Source organism: Homo sapiens, chromosome 11 (genome assembly GCF_000001405.40).
Source record: "Homo sapiens chromosome 11, GRCh38.p14 Primary Assembly".
Lineage (NCBI taxonomy): Eukaryota > Metazoa > Chordata > Mammalia > Primates > Hominidae > Homo > Homo sapiens.
Window position 1 is genome coordinate 41,603,559 of NC_000011.10, and position 22,003 is coordinate 41,625,561.

The 22,003-nt window shown below is 38.5% G+C and overlaps 1 long non-coding RNA gene across 2 annotated transcripts in view; it reads right to left on the minus strand.

The window, feature by feature from the left end:
- LINC02741 (long intergenic non-protein coding RNA 2741) overlaps window positions 1-22,003 on the minus strand; it is a 125,191-nt gene that overhangs the window by 14,213 nt on the left and 88,975 nt on the right. Inside the window, exons 3-4 of one of the 2 annotated variants that reach the window (XR_931218.3) lie at window positions 16,790-16,841; window positions 14,880-15,443 (exon numbers count right to left, since the gene is read on the minus strand). The exons of the other annotated variant lie outside the window; for it this stretch is intronic. This is a non-coding gene — a long non-coding RNA (long intergenic non-protein coding RNA 2741). Of the gene's footprint in view, window positions 1-14,879; window positions 15,444-16,789; window positions 16,842-22,003 lie in introns of those variants that run through there. 2 annotated transcript variants of the gene reach the window in all.

The window sequence follows — 22,003 nt, forward strand, 5'->3', positions numbered from 1 at the left end:
ACCAAAAAAGAGCCTGCATTGTCAAGACAATCCTAAGCAAAAAGAACAAAGCTGGAGGCATCACACTACATGACTTCAAACTATACTACAAGGCTATAGTAACCAAAACAGCATGGCACTTGTACCAAAACGGATATATATATATATATATATATATATATATATATATATATACCAATGGAACAGAAAAGAGGCCTCAGAAATAACACCACACATCTACAACCATCTGATCTTTGACAAACCTGACAAAAACAAGAAATGGGGAAATGATTCCTTATTTAATAAATGGTGCTGGGAAAACTGGCTAGGCATATGTAGAAAGCCGAAACTGGATCCCTTCCTTACACCTTATACAAAAATTAACTTAGGAAGGATTAAAGACTTAAATGTTAGACCTAAAACCAGAAAAACCCTGAAAGAAAACCTAGGCAATACCTTTCAGGACATAGGCATGGGCAAAGACTTCATGACTAAAACACCAAAAGCAATGGCAACAAAAGCCAAAATAGACAAATGGGATCTATTTAAACTAAACAACTTCTGCACAGCAATAGAAACTATCGAACAGGCAACCTACAGAATGGGAGAAAATTTTTACAGTCTATTCATCTGACAAAGGGCTAATATCCAGAAAATACAAAGAATTTAAACAAATTTACAAGAAAAAAAACAACCCCATCAAAAAGTGGGCAAAGGATATGAACAGACACTTCTCAAAAAAAGACATTTATGCAGCCAACAGACACATGAAAAATTGCTCATCATCACTGGTCATCAGAGAAATGCAAATCAAAACCACAATGAGATACCATCTCATACCAGTTAAAATGGCAATCATTAAAAAGTCAGGAAACAACAGATGCTGGAGAGGATGTGGAGAAATACGAATGCTTTTATACTGTTGGAGGGAGTGTAAATTAGCTCAACCATTGTGGAAGACAGTGTGGCAATTCCTCAAGGATCTAGAACTAGAAATACCATTTGACCCAGAGATCCCATTACTGGGTATATACCCAAAGGATTATAAATCATGCTACTATAAAGACACATGCACACATATGTTTATTGCAGCACTATTCACAATAGCAAAGACTTGGAACCAACCCAAATGTCCATCAATGATAGACTAGATTAAGAAAATGTGGCACATATACACCATGGAATACTATGCAGCCATAAGAAAGGATGAGTTCGGCTGGGCATGGTGGCTCACGCCTGTAATCCCAGCACTATGGGAGGCTGAGGTGGGAGGATCACGAGGTCAGGAGACCAAGACCATCCTGGCTAACATGGTGAAACCCCGTCTCTACTAAAAATACAAAAAGTAGTCAGGCGTGGTCGTGGGCACCTGTAGTCCCAGCTACTCGGGAGGCTGAGGCAGGAGAATGGCATGAACCTGGGAGGTGGAGCTTGCAGTGAGCCCAGATCATGCCACTGCACTCTAGCCTGGGCAACAGAGCGAGACTCTGTCTCAAAAAAAAGGATGAGTTCACGTCCTTTGCATGGACATGGATGAAGCTGGAAACCATCATTCTGAGCAAACTATCAGAAGGACAGAAAACCAAACACGGCATGTTCTCACTCATAGGTGGGAATTGAACAATGAGAACACATGGACACAGGGCAGGGAACATCATACGCTGGGGCCTGTCAGAGGGTGGAGGGATGGGGGTTTGGGGGAGGGATAGCATTGGGAGAAATGCCTAGTGCAAATGACAAGTTGATAGGTCCAGCAAACCAACATGACACATGTATACCTATGTAACAAACCTGCATGTTCTGCACATGCACCCTATAACTTAAAGCATAATAATAGCAAAAAAAAGACAAGTCCAGATTTTTCAAGTACACAACTTTTTGACATGGTTTCAAAGGTAAGCAGCCTAGTGTACCAAGTGTGAAGACAGATATGTAAACAGATTAACATGAGATTGAAAGCCATTAGAATAGGAGTCAGTGTATTTTGCATCTGTCTAGCCTTTGAGTTTAGAAAAGATTTTATGACTGCTTCAGGTTCCTAGGGGTGTTGTAACAAAGTGCTACATAAAACTGTGTGGATTAAATCAATAGAAATTTATTCTCTCATGCTTCTGGAGGCTAGAAATATGAAATCAAGGTATCTTAAGAGAAATGCAGGTTCTGGGTGGCCAGATCTCAATATTTTTCTAAAAGTATCCTGAAATATTGTTGTTTTTAAAATATACATGTATAATTTTGAATTCTAGAACTGTGGCAGGTAATTAGAAATTCCTTCTTTTTTAATAATTATTGGGCAGATTAATCCTGTATAGCCCAAGTAAAGATCATGTGGGCTCGATTCAACTTATAATTTTTAAATATACATTTACATGTACACACAAACATATACTTCTGGAAAAAACATCACAACTCTAAATTATAAACCCAGGCACATGCATGCCAAGGAGACAATGACATTCTGTCTTTAAGGAATCCTGCAGCATTTATATTTTTCTGAGTACTGCATAACAAGGCCATTTCTTGCTGAAGGAATATTTTTATTATCTACCTTGCATGTTGACTTGCTTATAAGTGCCTTGTTGTTAGATGTTTGCTTAAGATTTTTCTTTTATGACTGTAGCTTGACACTAAAGTGTGTTACATGGATCAGCCTGGATGTTGTTAAAGTCACTCTGAGGGGCTTTTTTCAGACTTTCTATATTTCGTTGATAAAACATTGCTATTGCTAAAGCCTCTGGGATTGAGTATAAGACCAAAGTCTTAAACAACTGTTTCGTTCATATTCAACCAAGCTCTGTATTCCGTGCAGGGTCTCATTAATGAAATATGTTTGTTTGAACATTAGTAAACATGAATTTTTGTGGTACAAATTGTCATTAAGTTCTTGGAATAAAATTCTCTAGATTTCTTGGCAAAATATTTGGTCCTGTTTTCATTTCCTTGAGGGAAAAACACATGAAACTTTATAAACTATGGTACCCTCCTTATACTAGTGCCAGGTGTTAAAAAGATAAAACATTCAACTCTGTAATTCACCAACAATTTTTTTTGAATGATTAATCTGTGCTCAGTTTTGTGCTACAATCTGTGACATCATTCATGTTGTCAACTCTGAAGCCTTGAACCCTTAAGAAAGAAAAGGTTGAAAAATTTCCTTAAGTGGATAATATATACCAAAAGGGTCTCTTCCTAACTCCTATCACAAACATCATGATGAACACACTAATACTAATACTATAACTCAAGATATCCATAATTATAAATCCTGGAGTTTCTACCCATACACCAATGAATAGCAATAGTCTCCATTAACCATACTGGCCTAAAGGTGTGTGTGTCAATTCAAACTCCATTGTGTCTAAATATATATATTCAAGTAGATACCATAAAAGCATTTTAAAGAAGAAACAAGTATAATAGGAGTTTATTGTAACACGTTTAAGGAATGAAATAATTGTCCAGATTTCAGAAGCAATGTTGGGATTGGGATACTAGTAGAAGATATTATGGTAAGGAAGCTAGGAAACCTCAGATTCTTGCCTAAGGTTGTCTTGCTTCTCTGCCTCACAACGTCCTCAAAGAACATAAAACACAAGAAATTACAGCAAATAAATGTCAATTCATAAGTTGTCTTTAAGCTTGACAAATCAATGAAAATCTGCAGTGAGCCAGATTAGACCAAATTAATGAGTACAGGAGCTAAGTGCAATTTAGAATCTAGGCACACATCACATGCCAGATCCAGCAGGAAAAGAGACAGAAACAGAAATCCACTGCCATGTGCTGAAACTTTGCAGCCCAGTGATCTCACTCTCTTACAAACGCAGCCCAGCAAATGTTCTGGAATCTCTCCAATCAAAATCATTGTTCTTCCTCTAGAGGACAAGAGAAGATGGGAGCATATAAAGGAGGTCTTGAAGGCACACCTTTCTTTAGATATGAATGCCACTTCATGGACTCTAAAATATAAGGCAAATGTACTACATATATATTTACATATGCATACATATAAATATATATGTAAATATATTTATTTTATAATTATATATCAATGGCCACACATTTTGTGAGACAGTCCTAATATTATGTAAGCATATTTTTTAACAAGAATGAACCATAAAATGTGTAATTTACTGTGATTTTATATTTATAGCCTTTTTAAAAAAATCAAATGTATAAATTGGAAAATTATGTCTCTTATTAGAACACATGAACAGATTTAATAAAATGTGTTCCCCAGGTATATAAATAATAATTTCAACACTATGCTGACATTGTAGGAACAGGAGTATATACAAAAAGCAACAGCCCAGATGAAGGAGGGATTAATTCTATGGGAGACACAAAGAAGCAAATCCCAGAAAGTTCACTCAAAAGACACTAACTATTTGGAAGGATAAATTGTAATTCAGAAGATAGATGGTGAGAGAAAGGCATTCCCGTTAGAGGAAACAAAATGCTCAAAGGCTTAAAAAGGTAAAAGAGTAGGCTATGTTTGTATGAGAGCAAATAGTTGATATCTGTACATTATGTCTCGATAAATGTGGAGAAAGTGATTTATATAGTCCTGTAAGAGAATAAGCATAAAGCTCTCTAGCACCTTCTCAAAAGCCTATTTATTATAGAATCTCTGTTCTGTACTTTGATTTACTTCTCCTAATATTCCAAAATCATTTTTTCAAGTGAAAATCTAATGTTACTGTCTTGATTAGTAACCTGCATTGTCTACGGAGAATATTCTTACAGGAAACTAGTGATGGCTAATAACCATCAGGAGGGTGTCCTGTGGGTGACCAGCACCTGCAGCTTGCCATACTGAAAAGGAAGCATGTTAGGAAATTAATTACTGGAGAGTAGGGAGTGGCCAAGAGACCTTGATGCATGAAATAGACAGAGCCAAGTTTAGATTCTTTGGTACAGTGGGAATCGCTCATCATTCATGCAGTTTATTTCATCAGAATTTGTCTAGCACAGCTTGGTCATGCAAACATTGAACACTGGGAGAACCAAACAAGCAAAATAGATTAAGACAGCTATGTTCATTACAATTCAGAATAAGTGTAAAGTCATCCCAGAACATTTTACAATATGTACCTTCTCCAGGCACAAGATTAAAACAAACACTTGCTTAGTCTCAACATTAAACTTAAGTCAGAGGATTTTTTGGATTGACTTTAGCAGACTTTATAGTAGTAACCAGATTGTTATTCTAAAACCTTCCAATACTCATCCAGTGCCACAGAATTTTACAGTTGATTTTGTTGCTGTTGCACTGGGACATAATCTTTTTTTTTTGGCTTTTATTATTTTTCAATTGAATTTTTACTTGAATGTTCCCAAAGTCAGAAAGCAAATTGGATTATACAGTAAAAATTATCATGTCCATCCATATCTCCTCCTCATATGCTTTTATTTCTTGTGTATAGTTCCAGATACATTTTATGGAAATACGAACAGCTAAAACTATACAATCTTTTCCTCTTTTTATACAAATAGTGGTATATAAAACACACTATATAACACTTTTATGTTTAACCAGTTTTAAGTGATTTAGAATGTCTCAAAATGTTTGCCTTTACAAATAATGTTGCAATAAATAACTTTGTTACATGTAATTTTGAGCTTATGCAAGTATAGCTCTAGAATAAAATTAGGAAGTCTAATTGTAGAATTAAAATACATGAACAATTATAAATCCAGTAAATATTGCCAGAGTACCCCCTTTTTATTTATTTCAAAAATTTACACTCTCACTAGCAGCGAATGAGAGTGTCTTCAATACTTTGGGTCTCCAAATCCCACAGATAAAATTGGTGAGGTTTTCATTCTCTTCCTGAATGTGTTTCTCAACTTGAAGATAAATGAAAACTCTTCCATGTCCCCAATAAAAACAAAAACATACAACTTCAATAACAAAAGGAAGAATGATTCTTCCTTTTGTTAGGAAAAAAGATATAAAAGAAAGACATAAATAAAGTGGATTCCAGCAGAATTTTATTTCAGTTACAAATCCAGAAGATAATATTTGTTAAGTGTTTTGTTTTGTGAAAATTCTGCTGATGACTAATGTTACCAAAGGTGAAAGTGAGGATGACAAAAATCGATTAATATAGCCAGAAATTCCTTATGTTATGTTTTTTGCATGCCACAACCACAAATGGTTTTCTTTGAGTCACATTTGGTTTCATCTATTTATCCAAAATGTTGAAATATCCACATATTAAAGAGCTACAAAATGAATGTATGTGGCAAGACTTCTTGCATCTAGCAATGGTAAAACAAAAGACTCTTTCTGATTTTGAGAATCCACTTATTATGATCCAAGTAACAATTAGGCAGGAAAAAATTCACAGTGAAATAATTAAGAACAATTATCACATTATTGAGTTTCTAGAGGTATTTCAGTTTCAGCTAATTGATTCCAAACCAGCTGTGAATAAAACGGATGTGCTTGTAACCAACTAAACATTTCCAGTGCTTCCAAGAAGCTAACTCTAGTAGTCTAAAATATCACTTTAGGAATGTACAAAAATAAGAAGAAAGGTAAATTATGAGAGGTTGTTTTGTTGTTGTTGTTGTTTGGTGTTTTTGTTGTTGTTGTAGATGAAGAGGGTAATTCTGACCAGTAATATGCACAATTATCACCTAAGGGCTTGGTTAAAATGGAAATTCTGATTCAGTAATTCTGCAGTGAGGCCTGAAATTCTGCCTTTTAAGGAAACTGCAGGGTGATGTCAATGCTACTGGCTCATGAACCACATACAGGTATAGAGACGAGAAATATGAACCAAGTTGGTAACACTTTAATCCCTATATCAGACATTGAGTGTATTATGGTGTTATAACCTCTTGCTGCATGCATGAAGTTCATGGATAATAAGTTCAACTATAATCTATGCTATTTTCATAAGAAGAACAGAAAAATAAAACAACTTTAACACCTCTCCCTATTATTAGAAAAGCATCAGAGAGAAAATTCACAGCATCTTCCTGTGAAAAGAATAATACTTGTTAGTGATTATATTAGTTTGGTGAGGCTGCCATAAGAAAGTATTATGTTGGTGCAAAAGGAATTGTGTTTTTTGCCATTACTTTTAATAGACTGGGTTGTTAAACAACAGAAGTTTTCCTATAGTTCTGGGCTAGAAGTTCAAAATCAAGTTCTCAGCAGCTTTAATTTTTTCTGAGGCCTTTGAAAAAATAATTTTCTAGGCCTCTCTTTATGGTTTATAGATGCTGTTTTCTTTTGTTGTCTCTTCACATCATCTTTTTTCTATGTATATGTCTGTGTCCAAATTTCACCTTTTTATAAGGACATCAGTCATGTTGATTACTTCTGTAAAGGCCCTATCTCCAAATATGGTCACATTTTCAAGTATTGGGGTTTAGGACTTTAACTTATGAATTTTATTTATTTTATTTTATTTTATTTTTTGAGATGGAGTATTGCTCTGTCGCCCAGGCTGGAGTGCAGTGGCACAATCTCGGCTCACTGCAAGCTCTGCCTTCCGGGTTCACGCCATTCTCCTGCCTCAGCCTCCCGAGTTGCTGGGACTACAGGCGACCACCACCATGCCCAGATAATTGTTGTATTTTTAGTAGAGATGGGGTTTCACCATGTTGGGCAGGCTGGTCTTGAACTCCTGACCTCAGGTGATCCACCCACCTCGGCCTCCCAAAGTGCTGGGATTACAGGCGTGAGCCAATGTGCCCAGCCTAACTTTTGAAATTTGAGGTGAACACAGTTTTGCCTGTAACAGAATTTCCCCCAATTCTGTTTCATTCTGCCCAAATCTCTTACCTGTAAAATGGGAAAAGTATGCTATGGAAACAATGAAATAATTACATTCAGCAGGCATAAACGGCAGAAGAAGGCATCACTCACTCTTCCAGCTGATAAATTACAAGGGTATATATTAATTATATAGAGTAAATGTTGAAATTATCTTCCATTTAGTGGCTAGAAAGATAGTCAGGGACAAATTAAGTACATGAAACTACAAACATCTAGACCTACTTTTGCATCAAACTTCTATTACTCACTAGGTCTGTGACTTTTCACTCATTGTATGAATTCCTTAAGACATGTTCTTATCTGTGAAATGGGATTAAGTAGTTTCTGATAGGTATTTATTATCTTGTGTGATAGATTGTATTATTGTGCTCAATTGTATTAGGGTCTAGTCAGGACAAAAAACACATCAGTAATTTGAACATGAAAATTTTGGTATATCTAACCATAAACTGACATAAGGTGGTTAAATTGAAAAAAAAAAAAAAAACGATAAAAGAGGACTGTAAAGGGCACACACATAGCAAATGCAGGGAGCAGCTGCCACCAAAATGAGAGAGAACAAGGAAGTGACAAACTGCTTAGAAGACTGTCCCCTCAAGGGTGAGATTCAAATGCTTTGGAGAAGGTGTATCTACCTTACCACAGGAGTATGCATCCTGTTGGTCTGATTTGAAGCTTGTATGCAGAGAAACTTGCTGGGGGGTAAGACTGCAGCTAGCCAGTGGACCTCTGATGTGACTGCTACCATGCCTCCTATAGAATGAGCTTCTGACTGCTACCTTGTGGGGTGTGGGGAGCGGGGAGGGATAGCATTAGGAGATATACCTAATGTAAACGATGAGTTAATGGGTGCAGCACACCAACATGGCACATGTATGCATATGTAACAAACCTGCACATTGTGCACATGTACCCTATAACTTAAAGTATAATAAATAAATACATAAATAAATAAAATTTAAAACAGAAACATAAATAAAATAAAATTTAAAAATAAAAATAAAAAAACCCTCACTGGAACCATGATATGCTTGCCAGATAAAGCACAAGACATTCAGCTACACATGAATTAACCAATGAATAATTTTTAGTATGTCTCATACAATATTTGGGGTATATAGTATAACAAAATTATTAATTATTTATCCAAAGTTCAAATTTAACTGGGAATCCTTTATTTTGTTTGCTAAATCCTGCAACTTTAATCAGGAAGGAAAACCTTTGCTCCTGCTCTGGCTTTGCAGTGTCCCTCCAGCACCCTCTATTGACTAAAATTGAGCTGACTAAAGAGAAATGTTTACATGGTCCAGCTCCAGTATCACACGCCAAGGCAATAAAAAGAAGATTTGGGGCTGGGTCAATACATCAATGATTCCCCTCCTCCAACCTTTCCTGTTAGAAAAGTATAACTCACTTCCTCCTTAACAGGTGATTTGCTGTATCCACTCCACCACAGAATAATGAACATTCTCACTCCATTGATTTTGAGTTTGGCCATCTGATATGCATTGATTAATGGTATATGAGCAGATGTAATGTGTGCATCATTAAAGCAAAAGCTTTAAGAAGACTTGTGAATTTCCACAAGTTATTATTGTTTCCTTCTGTCAGGAAAATAGTATATCCCAAATAATAGCTATTTCTTCAGTTTAGATTCCAAAATGAGAAAACTCTTGGGGAAGAGATTTCACAGCTCACTCACAACTGCTAGCAAGTTATGCAAAAGAAAAGAAACGTTTGCTCTGGTAAGCAACTGAGATTTTTCCTGTTTTAAAAACTGCAACAAACTAATACACTTAACATATATAAAGCACTGGTTATAGTTCTTAGCATATCACTTAACTTTGAATTAGATAAACAACATGGCATATAAAAAGTAACATGCATTTTGAAAGAAGAAAGATTTGCATTCTAAATAAAGCTTTATTATATATTAATGTTAATGTAATAATACATCATAAAGAGAGCAGATAACGCAGAAAAAAAGAGAGAGAGCAGATAACCATGGAAGGATAGCAGGCTAGATAATAACACAATCAGATTATTGTAGAAAAATTACTCAAGTTCAGCAAACTTTTTCTCTGAATAGTCAAATAGTAAATATTTTAGGCTTTGTAGGACATATGGTGTCTGTTGCAATGACTAAACTTTGTCTCAGCAGTGCTAAAAGAACCACAGACAATATGGAATGAATAAGGGTGGCTGTGTTCCAATAATTATTTTTTTTCAAAAACAGGAGATGGGCTAACCACAGGTCATAGTTTGCCAGCTACTTTTCTGAAAAAACTATTCCACTCTTACCCCTTGACGTGTAGTTCCCTACTGAAATCCAGAGTAATCTATTTAAAATATAAAACAAATCAAATTTTATTCTGCTTAATAACCTCCTGGGTCTTTCCAACATACTTAGAACAAAATCAAGACCTTGTATCATGACCCCTAAGACCGAATAAATTCTGAGACCTGTTTAATTTTCCTAAGCCATTTTGAATGTTGCTCTCTCTGCAATAAATGACTTATGGTTTCTTGTTCTAGTCATCATTGTGGATGCCATTCTTGGTAGGCCCTGACTGTACTCACACAATTGCAACTTGTCAATTTCCTTCATGCTTCCTAGTGTGCCCCATACCTCCTGTCCTGGGCTTCTTTACTGATGCTGCCATGTGGGAAAACAAGACTCTCACTTGCTGCCAAAACATGCACATTCCAGGTGTGCAGGGGAGTAATATGTTGTGGTTTAAACACTTGATCAATGGGCAATGGTAGCTGGTGGGTAAATTTTCTCACTTCTTCTTGAGACAGTTTATATGATTTCTCAGAGAATTCCTAAAGAGCAAGCCAACAGTCACTCTTACCTGATAAGAGTTAGCTTGATAACATATCCTCATATTGGCTCTAGTGCCTATTAGGTTTCACCCTCCTTGTGCCTACTTCTGCTCTCCGGGTTTTTACTTTACAATAGTGGCACACAATCTTCACAGGGCAGGAGCATCACCATCGTGGACAAGCACCTCATTCTAAAGTTCACCTTAATCAAAAACTGCCTAAATCCAAAGGGCATGAGCCTAATGGCTAAGGTCAGCATAACAATAAACCAGAAATAACATCTTCAACCAGAAACATTCCAAACTCCTCCCTGACCAGAGACATGCTAGCCTCAAGATAATGTCCTTTGCTGGAAAGATGTCAGCCCCAAGATACCTTCCCCTCTGCCCAGAGACATTCCAACCCCATCATAAAACTTCTCCTCCACACAGAAACATTCCAAGCTTGTAATAAGCCTCCTTACCCTGAAACCAATATATACTCCTAGTCTGTAAGAGAAAGCACTCCTGACCAAAAAATATCAGCCAGAAGCCCCTCTCAGGTTTTTAATCTAAAATAAACCTGTCTTTGACTGTCAAGCCACGTTTCGTGTTTCTTTCCTTTTTCTTAACTCTTACAAACGTTTGTCTAGGGCCTGGCATTTGGGAGCACAGACTGAGGTACTACATCTCACTCTTGCTTCTCTAGCCACACCACCCTTTTGTTTTTACTGGAACTTGGAAGCTTGTTCTTATCCTAGGGCCTTTGCACTTACTGTTCTGTCTGCACCCAGGTCTTTGCATGGATGGCTATTTTATGTCATTCAGACCTCAGCTCAAATATCCTCACCTCAGAAAAGCATCCCCTGGTTAAATCCAGACAAATGAAATCTAAACAAACACTCTGCTATTCTATATATATTACCAGGTTTAATTATTTTCATAGCTCTTAGTACTATAAAAATTCTGATTGCTGCATTTAGTTGTTTTGTTATTCTCTCTCTTGCCACTGCCTTTGGTGAACCCCCAGGAGATTGTAAGCTCCATATGAAAGGAACTGTTGTCCACTATGCTTCCTGATGCACCCCTACATCTAGAAGAGTATCTAGACCTAAGAGGCACAGGGTACACATTGTTTAATGTTAATGAATAAATGGGAATTCAAACTAGGGAAGAGGCTGTGATTTGAAAACCTAGTTAACTAGAAGCCACTCTTATTAGTCAGCTGTATAACACATCCTCATGTTGGCTCAATCAGCTTCAGGGAATCATAATCAAAGGAAGAATGTAAAACAGGCAGAAAATTAAGTTAATCTTTGGAAAACAGAATGATTGTTTCTGAGATGGGCACAGGTACAGCTAGATCTACACTGAGTTCCCAAAATGGCCAGATAATATTTGGAATCCTAAAAGAGAGAGAGTTTTTTTTAAAAAGCTTTTAAGGAAATTGGGTCATCAATTGGAGTACCTAATTGGTAATCTGCATGATAAGAACCAATTGTGTTAGCCAATTGTGTTAACCCATTTGTACTGCAGTGAAAATGTGAATACAAGGAGAAAAAGTAGCTACATATGTAAAGTATTAAATCTTTCTGAATCAATTAAATGCATCCTGGTTCACATCTGGACATACTGGATAACTGGTTGTGAAATAAATCCAAGCATCTGATCACTTTCAGAGAAACACTTTTAAGAACTTATACTTTGTAAGTTCATATCCCTCTCACTTTGATGAGGGCTGAGTTATGTTCAGGTATCCACCATGACTTTGAGAAATGAAATTCTAGGAAAATGAGGATAATTAATTGCAACCCAAAGTGGCATAAGGGACTTTTCTTCCAAATCTGCTCCTGGGACCCATGTTTTATCTTAGGTTTAAATGATAGAGGATGATATAGAATGCAGATTGCCTATAACTTTTTTAATTTAACAAAATAAAAATCCAACAAAAATCAAAATCTTTTCATGTTGCCTCATTTTAGAATAGTTTACATTCTAACACTGGAAAATTGTCAGAGAGTCTGCCCCATTATCAATGAGATCATGTCTTTATCCTTTGATTCCTTATGTTCATCAAATTATACTGTTTTATCACATAATTGGCTTTAAGTTTAACATTGTGCCTGATACACAGCAGTCACTCAGTCCATGCTTCTAAAATCAAGAAGTCCTTATGCAGCTTTCGATTTGGTGCACCGTTGCTACTGTCTTAGGCTGTGCTTATTGCTACAACAAAGTTTTATAGACTGAGTAGCTTCTAAAGAACAGAAATTTATTTCTCACAGTTCTAGAGGTAGAAAGCCTAAGATTAAGGCACTGACAGATTTAATGTCTGACGAGGGCTCTATTTCTTTTTTTTTTTTTTTGAGATGGAGTCTTGCTCTGTCACCCAGGCTGGAGTGCAGTGGCATGATCTCGGCTCATTGCAACCTCTGCCTCCTTAGTTCAAGGGATTATCCTGCCTGAGCCTCCTGAGTAGTTGGGATTACAGGTGAGCACCACCACGCCTGGCTAATTTTTGTATTTTTAGTAGAGATGGGGTCTCACCATGTTGGTCAGACTGGTCTGGAACACCTGACCTCATGATCCGCCCACCTTGGCATCACAAAGTGCTGGGAATACAGGCATAAACCACTGTGCCTGGCCAGCTCTATTTCTTACAAATGACATCTTCTTGCTTTGTCCTCACATGGCAAAACAACAAACAAGCTCATTAAAATGGAACCCTTATGCTGTAATCACCTCCCAAAGACTCCATCTCTTAACACTATCACCTCAGGTGTTAGGTTTCAGCATATCAATTTTGAAGGAACACAAACATTAAAACCATAGTAGCCACCAAGGGACAGGTTGCGGATTGCCATTTTAATCCCCTCCCATAATATCATCTTTCTGTATCAAGATGCTATTCAAACTTCTTTTCAAAAACACACAATTTCCTATAGCAAGAAAGAAGCATATAATCATTTGTGCACCAAAACATAAGCTTCTTGACTTCAGATGGAACTGTGACTTTTAAATGCCCTGAGATGCTGAGATGCTCTCTTTACTGTATGCTATGGCTTCAAGTCCATTTTTCTCAAAGAAAATACCAACTTGTCCCAAATTAAAACTCAGTTTTCTTAGTTGAGCTACGTACAAGATGTGAATTCACTGGAGAAATCCTGGAAACTTCCTTTTCTTAGAACAAACAATTTTTTCTCCCTTCTCTCCCAACTTTTTCTGACATCATTTTACTAGAAAGAAATGAAAGTCCTTTTAACTTATGTAGGTAGCATCCATAGCCTATAACGGAAAGACCGTTGAGGTCTCAAAAAGAGAAATTACTTCTCAGCTGAGAGTTTCACTTCTAGTGGCACGGAGGGTAGGAAAAACTTAAAACAAGAATTAAAGAGAAGCCTTTTTTTTTTTATATTTGGCCCTAATGTGAGTAAAAGACTCAAAAGGCCTAGAAAGAAAGGAAAATAAATAATTCTTAAAGCTCTCTAAGAACTCAACCAACTCTACCTGAGAAGGGAAAAAAGTGATTCAGATCTAAAGCTCTTGAATGCAATTTGCTTGTGCTAAAAGCAAGAGCCTTTGACATCTTCATACTAGAAATGGAAGAAAATGCTTTTGGAAAATATGGAAATCATTCCTGGGTGTCACACTCTTTCTTCTCTAAGAAACTCACATTAACCCTTGAAGCAGAGCCTTCACTTTAGTTACTGTCTTGATCATCCTACCCTTAGCTAGTTAAATATTGCCGCCAACCTTTTTTTTTTTATTGTTAAAACTCTGTTTAATTGTGGAAATCTGATGGGTTATCCCAGTCATTGAGATCAGTAGAAGAGTTTAATCAATTTCTAAATAATAAATCAACTTTTCATGCCCTTTATAATCTCAATGTAACACATTGCAATTCATAGCCATTACACTACATTTATCTTTAATGTATAATAAATGGTACATTGGTATTGACTGAACAAGCGATTAAATATTCCATCAGTGGCAGAACACAGAAATATTTTTTAATTATTAATAAGCCACCAGCTTTGCTTGTCAGGTACAATCATCTTTTTGTTGGAACAACTTATTTTCATTTTTATTATCATAGACAAGTGCAATCAAACGCCATTTCAAACCACTTCTGGTCAATCTCCAGCATAGGACCGATAACTTCTAGTTTCCCTTCTTAACAGCTATGAAGGGCAATAGATTTGGCAAAAAAAAAAAAAAAAAAAAAAAAAAAAAAAAAAAAAAAAAAAACAACAACCAATAAATATGAAAGAGATGTGGAGTTCATGTAAAAATTCAAGAAAGAGAATTATAAAAAAATTTTATTAGATTTTCTCATACTGATTTCAAAGGATAGGTATAATAAAGTATTTGTGAAATTTTATGAAATATTACATACATAAAATTGTCAAGACTTTATAGACTCATCATATGTACAAAAGAGTTTACCCTTATCAAAAGAAAAAGAGAAAGAGAGAAATTAAAACTGTGTACAGAACATGGTGACAAGATTCTAAATGAACTAAGAGGGGAGTAAATATTTAAAAAATTGGAGTTTGATTAAAGTAACCCATGGACTACAATTTGAATGTGTGTCCCCTCCCAGATGCACATTGAAGCTTCATCCTGATTGTGGTAGTATAAAGAGGTGAGCCTTTTAGATAAATGATTACATGCCTTATGAATGGGCTGGAGGGAGCTAGCTTAAGCCCCTTTTCCACTTCTGATTCTGCCAACCATGTGAGGACACAGTGTTCATTCCCTCAGGAGGACACAGAAACAGGACATCATCTCAAAGGCAAAGAGAGCAGCCTTCACCAGACACCAAACCTGGTGGTCCTTGACTTTAAATTTCCCAGCCTTCAGAGCTGTAAGAAACAAATTTCTATTATGTATAAATTACCCAGTCTGTAGTACTTGTTATACCAGCACAAATGGACTAAGACACAAACCAAAGAGCATGAGGACATTAATTTCCTAAGGTAATTTTCACAGAGTTCAGATACAACCGTGAGGTGGGAAGTTATGAACACATTTATCTGACACATATTTATTAAATTTCATTAGACTTTTAAGGTCTTAGACGTTTGAAACTGCTTGCTAAAACTTTATGATCTATAAGAACAAAGCAGACATAGGCCCTGCCCTCAAAGTTTTACAGTGCTTTGGAAAGAAAAAAAAAGGCACGTAAATATCATCTAAATTATGAAATATATCATTGTGTGAAATTAGCATGTTACATTTATATTTGCTTCTCTGGCATCCAACACAATTCCTGGTACAGTTAGAAAAATGTAAATTAATTTATTCAAGACAAATTTATTGAATATCTATTATATGTTTCATCAAAATACTAGATATGCAAAGATAAATAAAACATTGTCCTTCATCAGCCCACAGTTTAATAGAAGAATGAGATAGTAAACATTTGTTGAGTTGAATTTGACAAATTTATGATCATTGCACTTCAGGAAATCTCAACCTGAAAAATTCTAAAATGAAAAAATATCAAAAGTCATGGGAGACTGTAGAGAAACGGTATAATGACTAGATATCCACACATCATCCATTAATCATCATGGGGTTTGACTCCAAGTAACATAAAACCTGACAGAGCTTTAGAAATACGGATTTCTTTCTTTTTTCTTCATCTTAAAAAAAAAATGGAGGTCAATAGTTTCAGGTGAAGGTTCATTGACTCAACACGATTGGAGCCTCCAGTGGCATGTCTGTAATTTTCTTGGCCTTTCCCTTATGATTGAAAATGATTGAAGCAGCTCTACATCTCATCTTCACACTACACTCAAGGCAGGAAACCAGAGCTGGTTCAAAATACAAAAATTCACTTCCCTCTTCTCACTTTCTTTGAGCAAAAGCCTCTCCCAGTACCCCTCCCCCGCAGACCCCATATCCCATCAGACTGCTATTATGTCTCATTGCTCAGAATTAGGCTACATGACTGCCTTTAAACCAGTAGCCCAGCCCACCTCTTCTGCAAAAAAGAATACCAGGCTACTGTTTTAGGAAAGAAGACAGAAGAGAGATTTTTTAAGGATGTGAAACAAATAGTGCTGGCCACAGATCCTTAGCAAAAGGAAAAGGAACTAGGCATAGAAACAAATGAGATGGTACATATCTGATAAAAAATCAACTTGAAAATGGCAGGTATAAATGACAAGGAAGGCGTACATTAAAATAGATAAGTGGTCCCTACCTGAAGGCATCTGCAATATGACAGGGTCAGTGTTTGAAGGGCATTTTCTACCCTATTAATACGGAAAGAGAGAAAGAAAGAATAGAACAATTTATCACTATGGCAGAAGGTACACTTTAAATCAACTGGCATTTATTGAGCACTTATTACTTGTAAAGCTTTTTGCTAGTCAATGGGGACCATTCAGAAATCTGTCTTTCTCTTGTATTTTGGCCCCTTTGCTGCTCTTGATTTCCAAAAACCCATTCAATATATATAGGAAAGAATGTATCTGAGTTTTGAGACATTATTTAAAAGTGGCTAAATAGTCCCTGAATAAATTTTTTTTTAAAAACTGAGAAGGCAGGTGATATGGTTCAGCTGTGTCCCTGCCCAAATCTCATCTTGAATTGAAGCTCCCATAATCCCCACATGTTGTGGGAGGGACACTCTGGGAGGTAACTGAATCATGGGTGTAGTTTTCCCTATACTGTTCTTGTGGTAGTGAATAGGTCTCACGAGATCTGATGGTTTAATAAGGGAGCGGGTTAAAGAAGGCAGTCCCCTTTCAACTGGCTCTCATTCTCTCCTTTTGCTCGCCGCTATGTAAGAAGTCCCTTTCCTCTTCCTTCATCTTCCGCTATGATTGTGAGGCCTCCCCAGCTGTGTGGAACTGTGAGTTCATTAAACCTCTTTCCTTTATATATTGCCCAGTCTCAGGTATGTCTTTATCAGCAGCATGAAAATGGACTAATACAGCAGGTTTCTGAATTGTCATAGCGTAATCAAAGCTTCCCAGCTGGACGTCCAGCATACCGGTGCAAGGAGGAGGCAAACAGTGTATCTACTTGGGGCAGCCAAGCAGGGTCAAGGGTTAGTTACTGCCTGAAGTCGCTTCTGTTTACCCCCATGTGCCTTATGCATATTATCACTTACAATACTCTGCAATTGGAAAAGAGTTGGATAATCCTGCTATAAATGACAGTTTGATATTGGACCATGGAAAACTTCTAAATGAATTATTAATTCCATAGTTTGCATACAACTGCGAAATAGAGAAATGATTATTTGGGGTCAGCATGCATTCACCAGGACACCTACTCCCAAACAAATATTGTTTTCCTTTTGTTGAAACACTGAAATGGGTGGATACTCAAAATGGATTCTCTAATAATGCCATAGAAGTTAAGAAGAGACAGTGCTCTCTAAATCTTCACATAGCACATTAACATAAATTAACCAAGCCAACTCAAGAAATTGCACTGATTTTTAAAATTAACGAACAGTTTCTGATTACCAAAATATCATGGTCACTCCCAAGATTTCATAATACAAACATTGTGTTCAGGGCTTTTCTATGAAACAAAAAGATTCCACAATGTCCTCTTCCCCAAGCATCTTCACAGAAGAAGTGGCATTTGAGTGGAGTCATAAGGAAGAAATGAAATTTTCTTATGTGTATCTGGGAGAACAATTCAAGTTGTACTACTCTTGTCAATCATTGTGTTTGTCGTCCATAGAAAGGAGGTGCATTCAAACACAGAAAGAACGCACCAAGTGACAATGAGAGAGCACAGTGGTGGGTACAGAGAACAGAAGAGAAGTAGAGGCTTTTCCATTTTACAAAAAGTTGAACTAAATCTGTACAATTAACTTCCTTTTTTCATAAGATAGCCAAAGTCGGCTGTTACTTCTCATAAGAGAAAGAGCCTACCTGAATCATACTGTAGCAGAAGAGTGTAGTAAGGCTAAGAGAGAAGAGGAAGTGTCATGTTTATTGGGAAAAGAGCACAGCTCAGCCTGACCAGTTGATTGGAGTACAGTATTTCTGGTATACATGGGTCACACTCACACACACATATTCATAATACTTTGTTAGGTTTTGTTCCTAATTTAATTAGGCAAGTATACATAATCTTTGGAAGCAAAGAGACTGACATGGTTTGGCTCTGTGTGCCTACTCAAATCTCATGTCAAATTGTAATTACCAATGTAGGGGGAGGGGACTGGTGGGAGGTGATTGCATCATGGGGACAGATTTTTCCCTTGCAGTTCTCATGATAGTGAGTGAGACCTGGTTGTTTAAAAGTGTATAGCTTTCTCTTCTCTCTTACTCTACCATATGAAGTAAACGCTTGCTTCCCCTTCACCCTTCTGCCATGATTGTAAGTTTCCTGAGGGCTCCCCAACCATGCTTTCTGTACAGCCTGTGAAACTGAGTCAATTAAACCTCTTTTCGTCATATATTACGTAGTCTCAGGTATGCCTTTATAGTAGTGCAAGAATGGAGTAATACAAAGACTATAGAGGCAGGGTAAAAGCAGATGAAGCAAGTTATCTCAGAAAAGATTTCCTTATTCCCCAAAGTGAGAGGTGACAGCATGCTGGCGGCCCTCACAGCCCTGGCTCGCTCTCCGTGCCTCCTCGCCCTGGGCGCCCATTCTGGCCGTGCTTGAGGAGCCCTTCACCCTGCCGCTGCACCATGGGAGCCCTTCTCTGGGCTGGCTGAGGCCGGAGCCAGCTGCCTCGGCTTGCGAGGAGGTGTGGAGGGAGAGGCACGGGCAGGAACCGGGGATGCGTGTGGCGCTTGTGGGCCAGCGCCAGTTCCTGGTGGGTGTGGGCTCTGCGGCCCCGCATTCAGAGCGGCTGGCCCGCCTGCAAGCCCCGGGCAGTGAGGGGCTTAGCATCTGGGCCAGCAGCTGTTGTGCTTGATTTCTCGCCAGGCCTTAGCTGCCTCCCCGTGGGGCAGGGCTCGGGACCTGCAGCCCGCCATGCCTGAGCCTCCCCCCAAACCCACCATGGGCTCCCACGCAGCCCAAGCCTCCCGGACCCGAGCGCCACTCCCTGCCCCATGGCTCCCAGTCTCATCCACCGCCCAAGAGCTGAGAAGTGCAGGCCCACGGCGTGGGACTGGCAGGCAGCTGCACCTGCAGCCCCAGTGCGGAATCCACTGGGTGAAGCCAGCTGGGCTCCTGAGTCTAGTGGGGACTTGGAGAACCTTTATGTCTAGCTAAGGGATTGTAAATACACCATTCAGCACTCTGTATCTAGCTCAAGGTTTGTAAACACACCAATCAGCACCCTGTGTCTAGCTCAGGGTTTGTGGATGCACCAATCGGCACTCTGTATCTAGCTAATCTGGTGCGGACTTGGGAGAATCTCTGTGTCTAGCTAAGGGATTATGAATACACCAATGGGCACTCTGTATCTAGCTCAAGGTTTGTAAATGCACCAATCAGCACTCTGTGTCTAGCTCAGGGTTTGTAAATACACCAATCCACACTCTGTATCTAGCTAATCTAGTGGGGACCTGTAAAACTTTTGTGTCTAGGTCAGGGATTGTAAATGTACCAATCAGCACCCTGTCAAAATGGACCAATCAGCTCCGTGTAAAACAGACCACTCGGCTCTCTCTAAATTGGACCAATCAGCAGGATGTGGGTGGGGCCAGATAAGAGAATAAAAGCACGCTGCCCGAGCCAGCAGTGGCAACCGGCTTGGGTCTCCTTCCACACTGTGGAAGATTTGTTCTTTCACTCTTTGCAATAAATCTTGCTGCTGTTCCCTCTTTGAGTCCGCACTGCTTTTATGAGCTGTAGCACTCACCGTGAAGGTCTGCAGCTTCACTCCTGAGACAGCGAGACCATGAACCCACTAGAAGGAAGAAACTCCAAACATATCTGAACATCAGAAGGAACAAACTCTGACATGCCGCCTTTAAGAACTGTAACACTCACCACGAGGGTCCGTGGCTTCATTCTTGAAGTCAGTGAGACCAAGAGCCCACCAATTCTAGACACAAAAGTTTCCCCAAAATACATGTAGCTATGAGTTATACTGTCCAGGAAATGTAAGATCTTCCCTCTCTTAGATTGTTCAGTACTTACTGTGACCCTGTCCTATACTTAGGGATAATATTGTTCTGGAAAAGAAGTAGTGTTTGAGAGCAGTGTCTGTACTAGCTTTTACAACCTGTATGACTAATACATGTGTTTCTTAACCTACACATGCCTTAGTTTCTTCAACCACAAAATAGATAAAACAGGATTATATCTGTCCTGCTCCTTTGAAAAACAGAAACAAACAACTGATTTTGTTTTGTTCTCTATTTTTCATTTCAGTCCTGACTTCCTTGTTTTCATATTTACAAACACCTGAGACTGGGTAATTTATAAAGGGAAGAGGTTTAATGGACTCACAGTTCCACGTGGCTGGGGAGGCCTCAGGAAACTTACAATTATGGTGAAAGGCAAGGGGGAAGCAAGGACCTTCCTCACATGGTGGCAGGAGAGAGAAGTACAAGCAGGGAAATGCCAGGTGCTTATAAAACCATGAGATCTCATGAGACCTCACTAACTATTATGACAACAGCATGAGGGAAACTGCCCCCATGATCCAATCACCTCCAACCGTGTCCCTCCCTCAACATGTTGGGATTATGAGGATTACAATTCAAGATGAGGTTTGGGTGGGAACCCAGCCATACCATATCATTCTACCCCTGGCCCCTCCCAAATCTAATGACCTCACATTTCAAAATGCAGTCACACCTTGCCAACAGTCCTCCTAAGTCTTAACTCATTCCAGCATTAACCCAAAAGCCCACAGTCCAAAGTCTCATCTTAGGCAAGGCAAGTCCTTTCCACCTAGGAGCCTGTAAAATCAAAAGTAAGTTAGTTACTTCCAAGATACAATGAGGGTACAGGCATTGTATAAATGCTCCCATTCCAAAGGGGGAGAAATTGGACAAAACAAAGGGCTACAGGCCCCATACAGGTCTGAAATCCAGCAGGGCTGTCATTACATCTTAAAGTTCCAAAATAATCCCCTTTGACTCCATGTCTCACATGCAGGGCATGCTGATGCAAAGGGTGGTCTCCCACAGCCTTGGGCAGCTCTGCCCCTGTGGCTTTGCAGGGTACTGCCTACCATCCTGGCTGCCTTCATGGCTGGCATTGAGTGTCTGTGGCTTTTCCAGGCACACTCTGTAAGCTGTCAGTGGGTCTATCCTTCTGGGGTCTGAAATATGGTGGCCCTCTTCTCACGGCTCCTCAAGGCACTGCCCCAGTGGGGACTCTGTGTAGGGACTCCAACCCCACATTTCCCTTCTGCACTGCCCTAGCAGAGGTTCTCCATGAGGACTCTGCCCCTGCAGCACACCTGTGCCTGGACATCCAGGCATTTCCATACATTCTCTGAAATCTAGGCAGAGGTTCCCAAACCTCAATTCTTCTG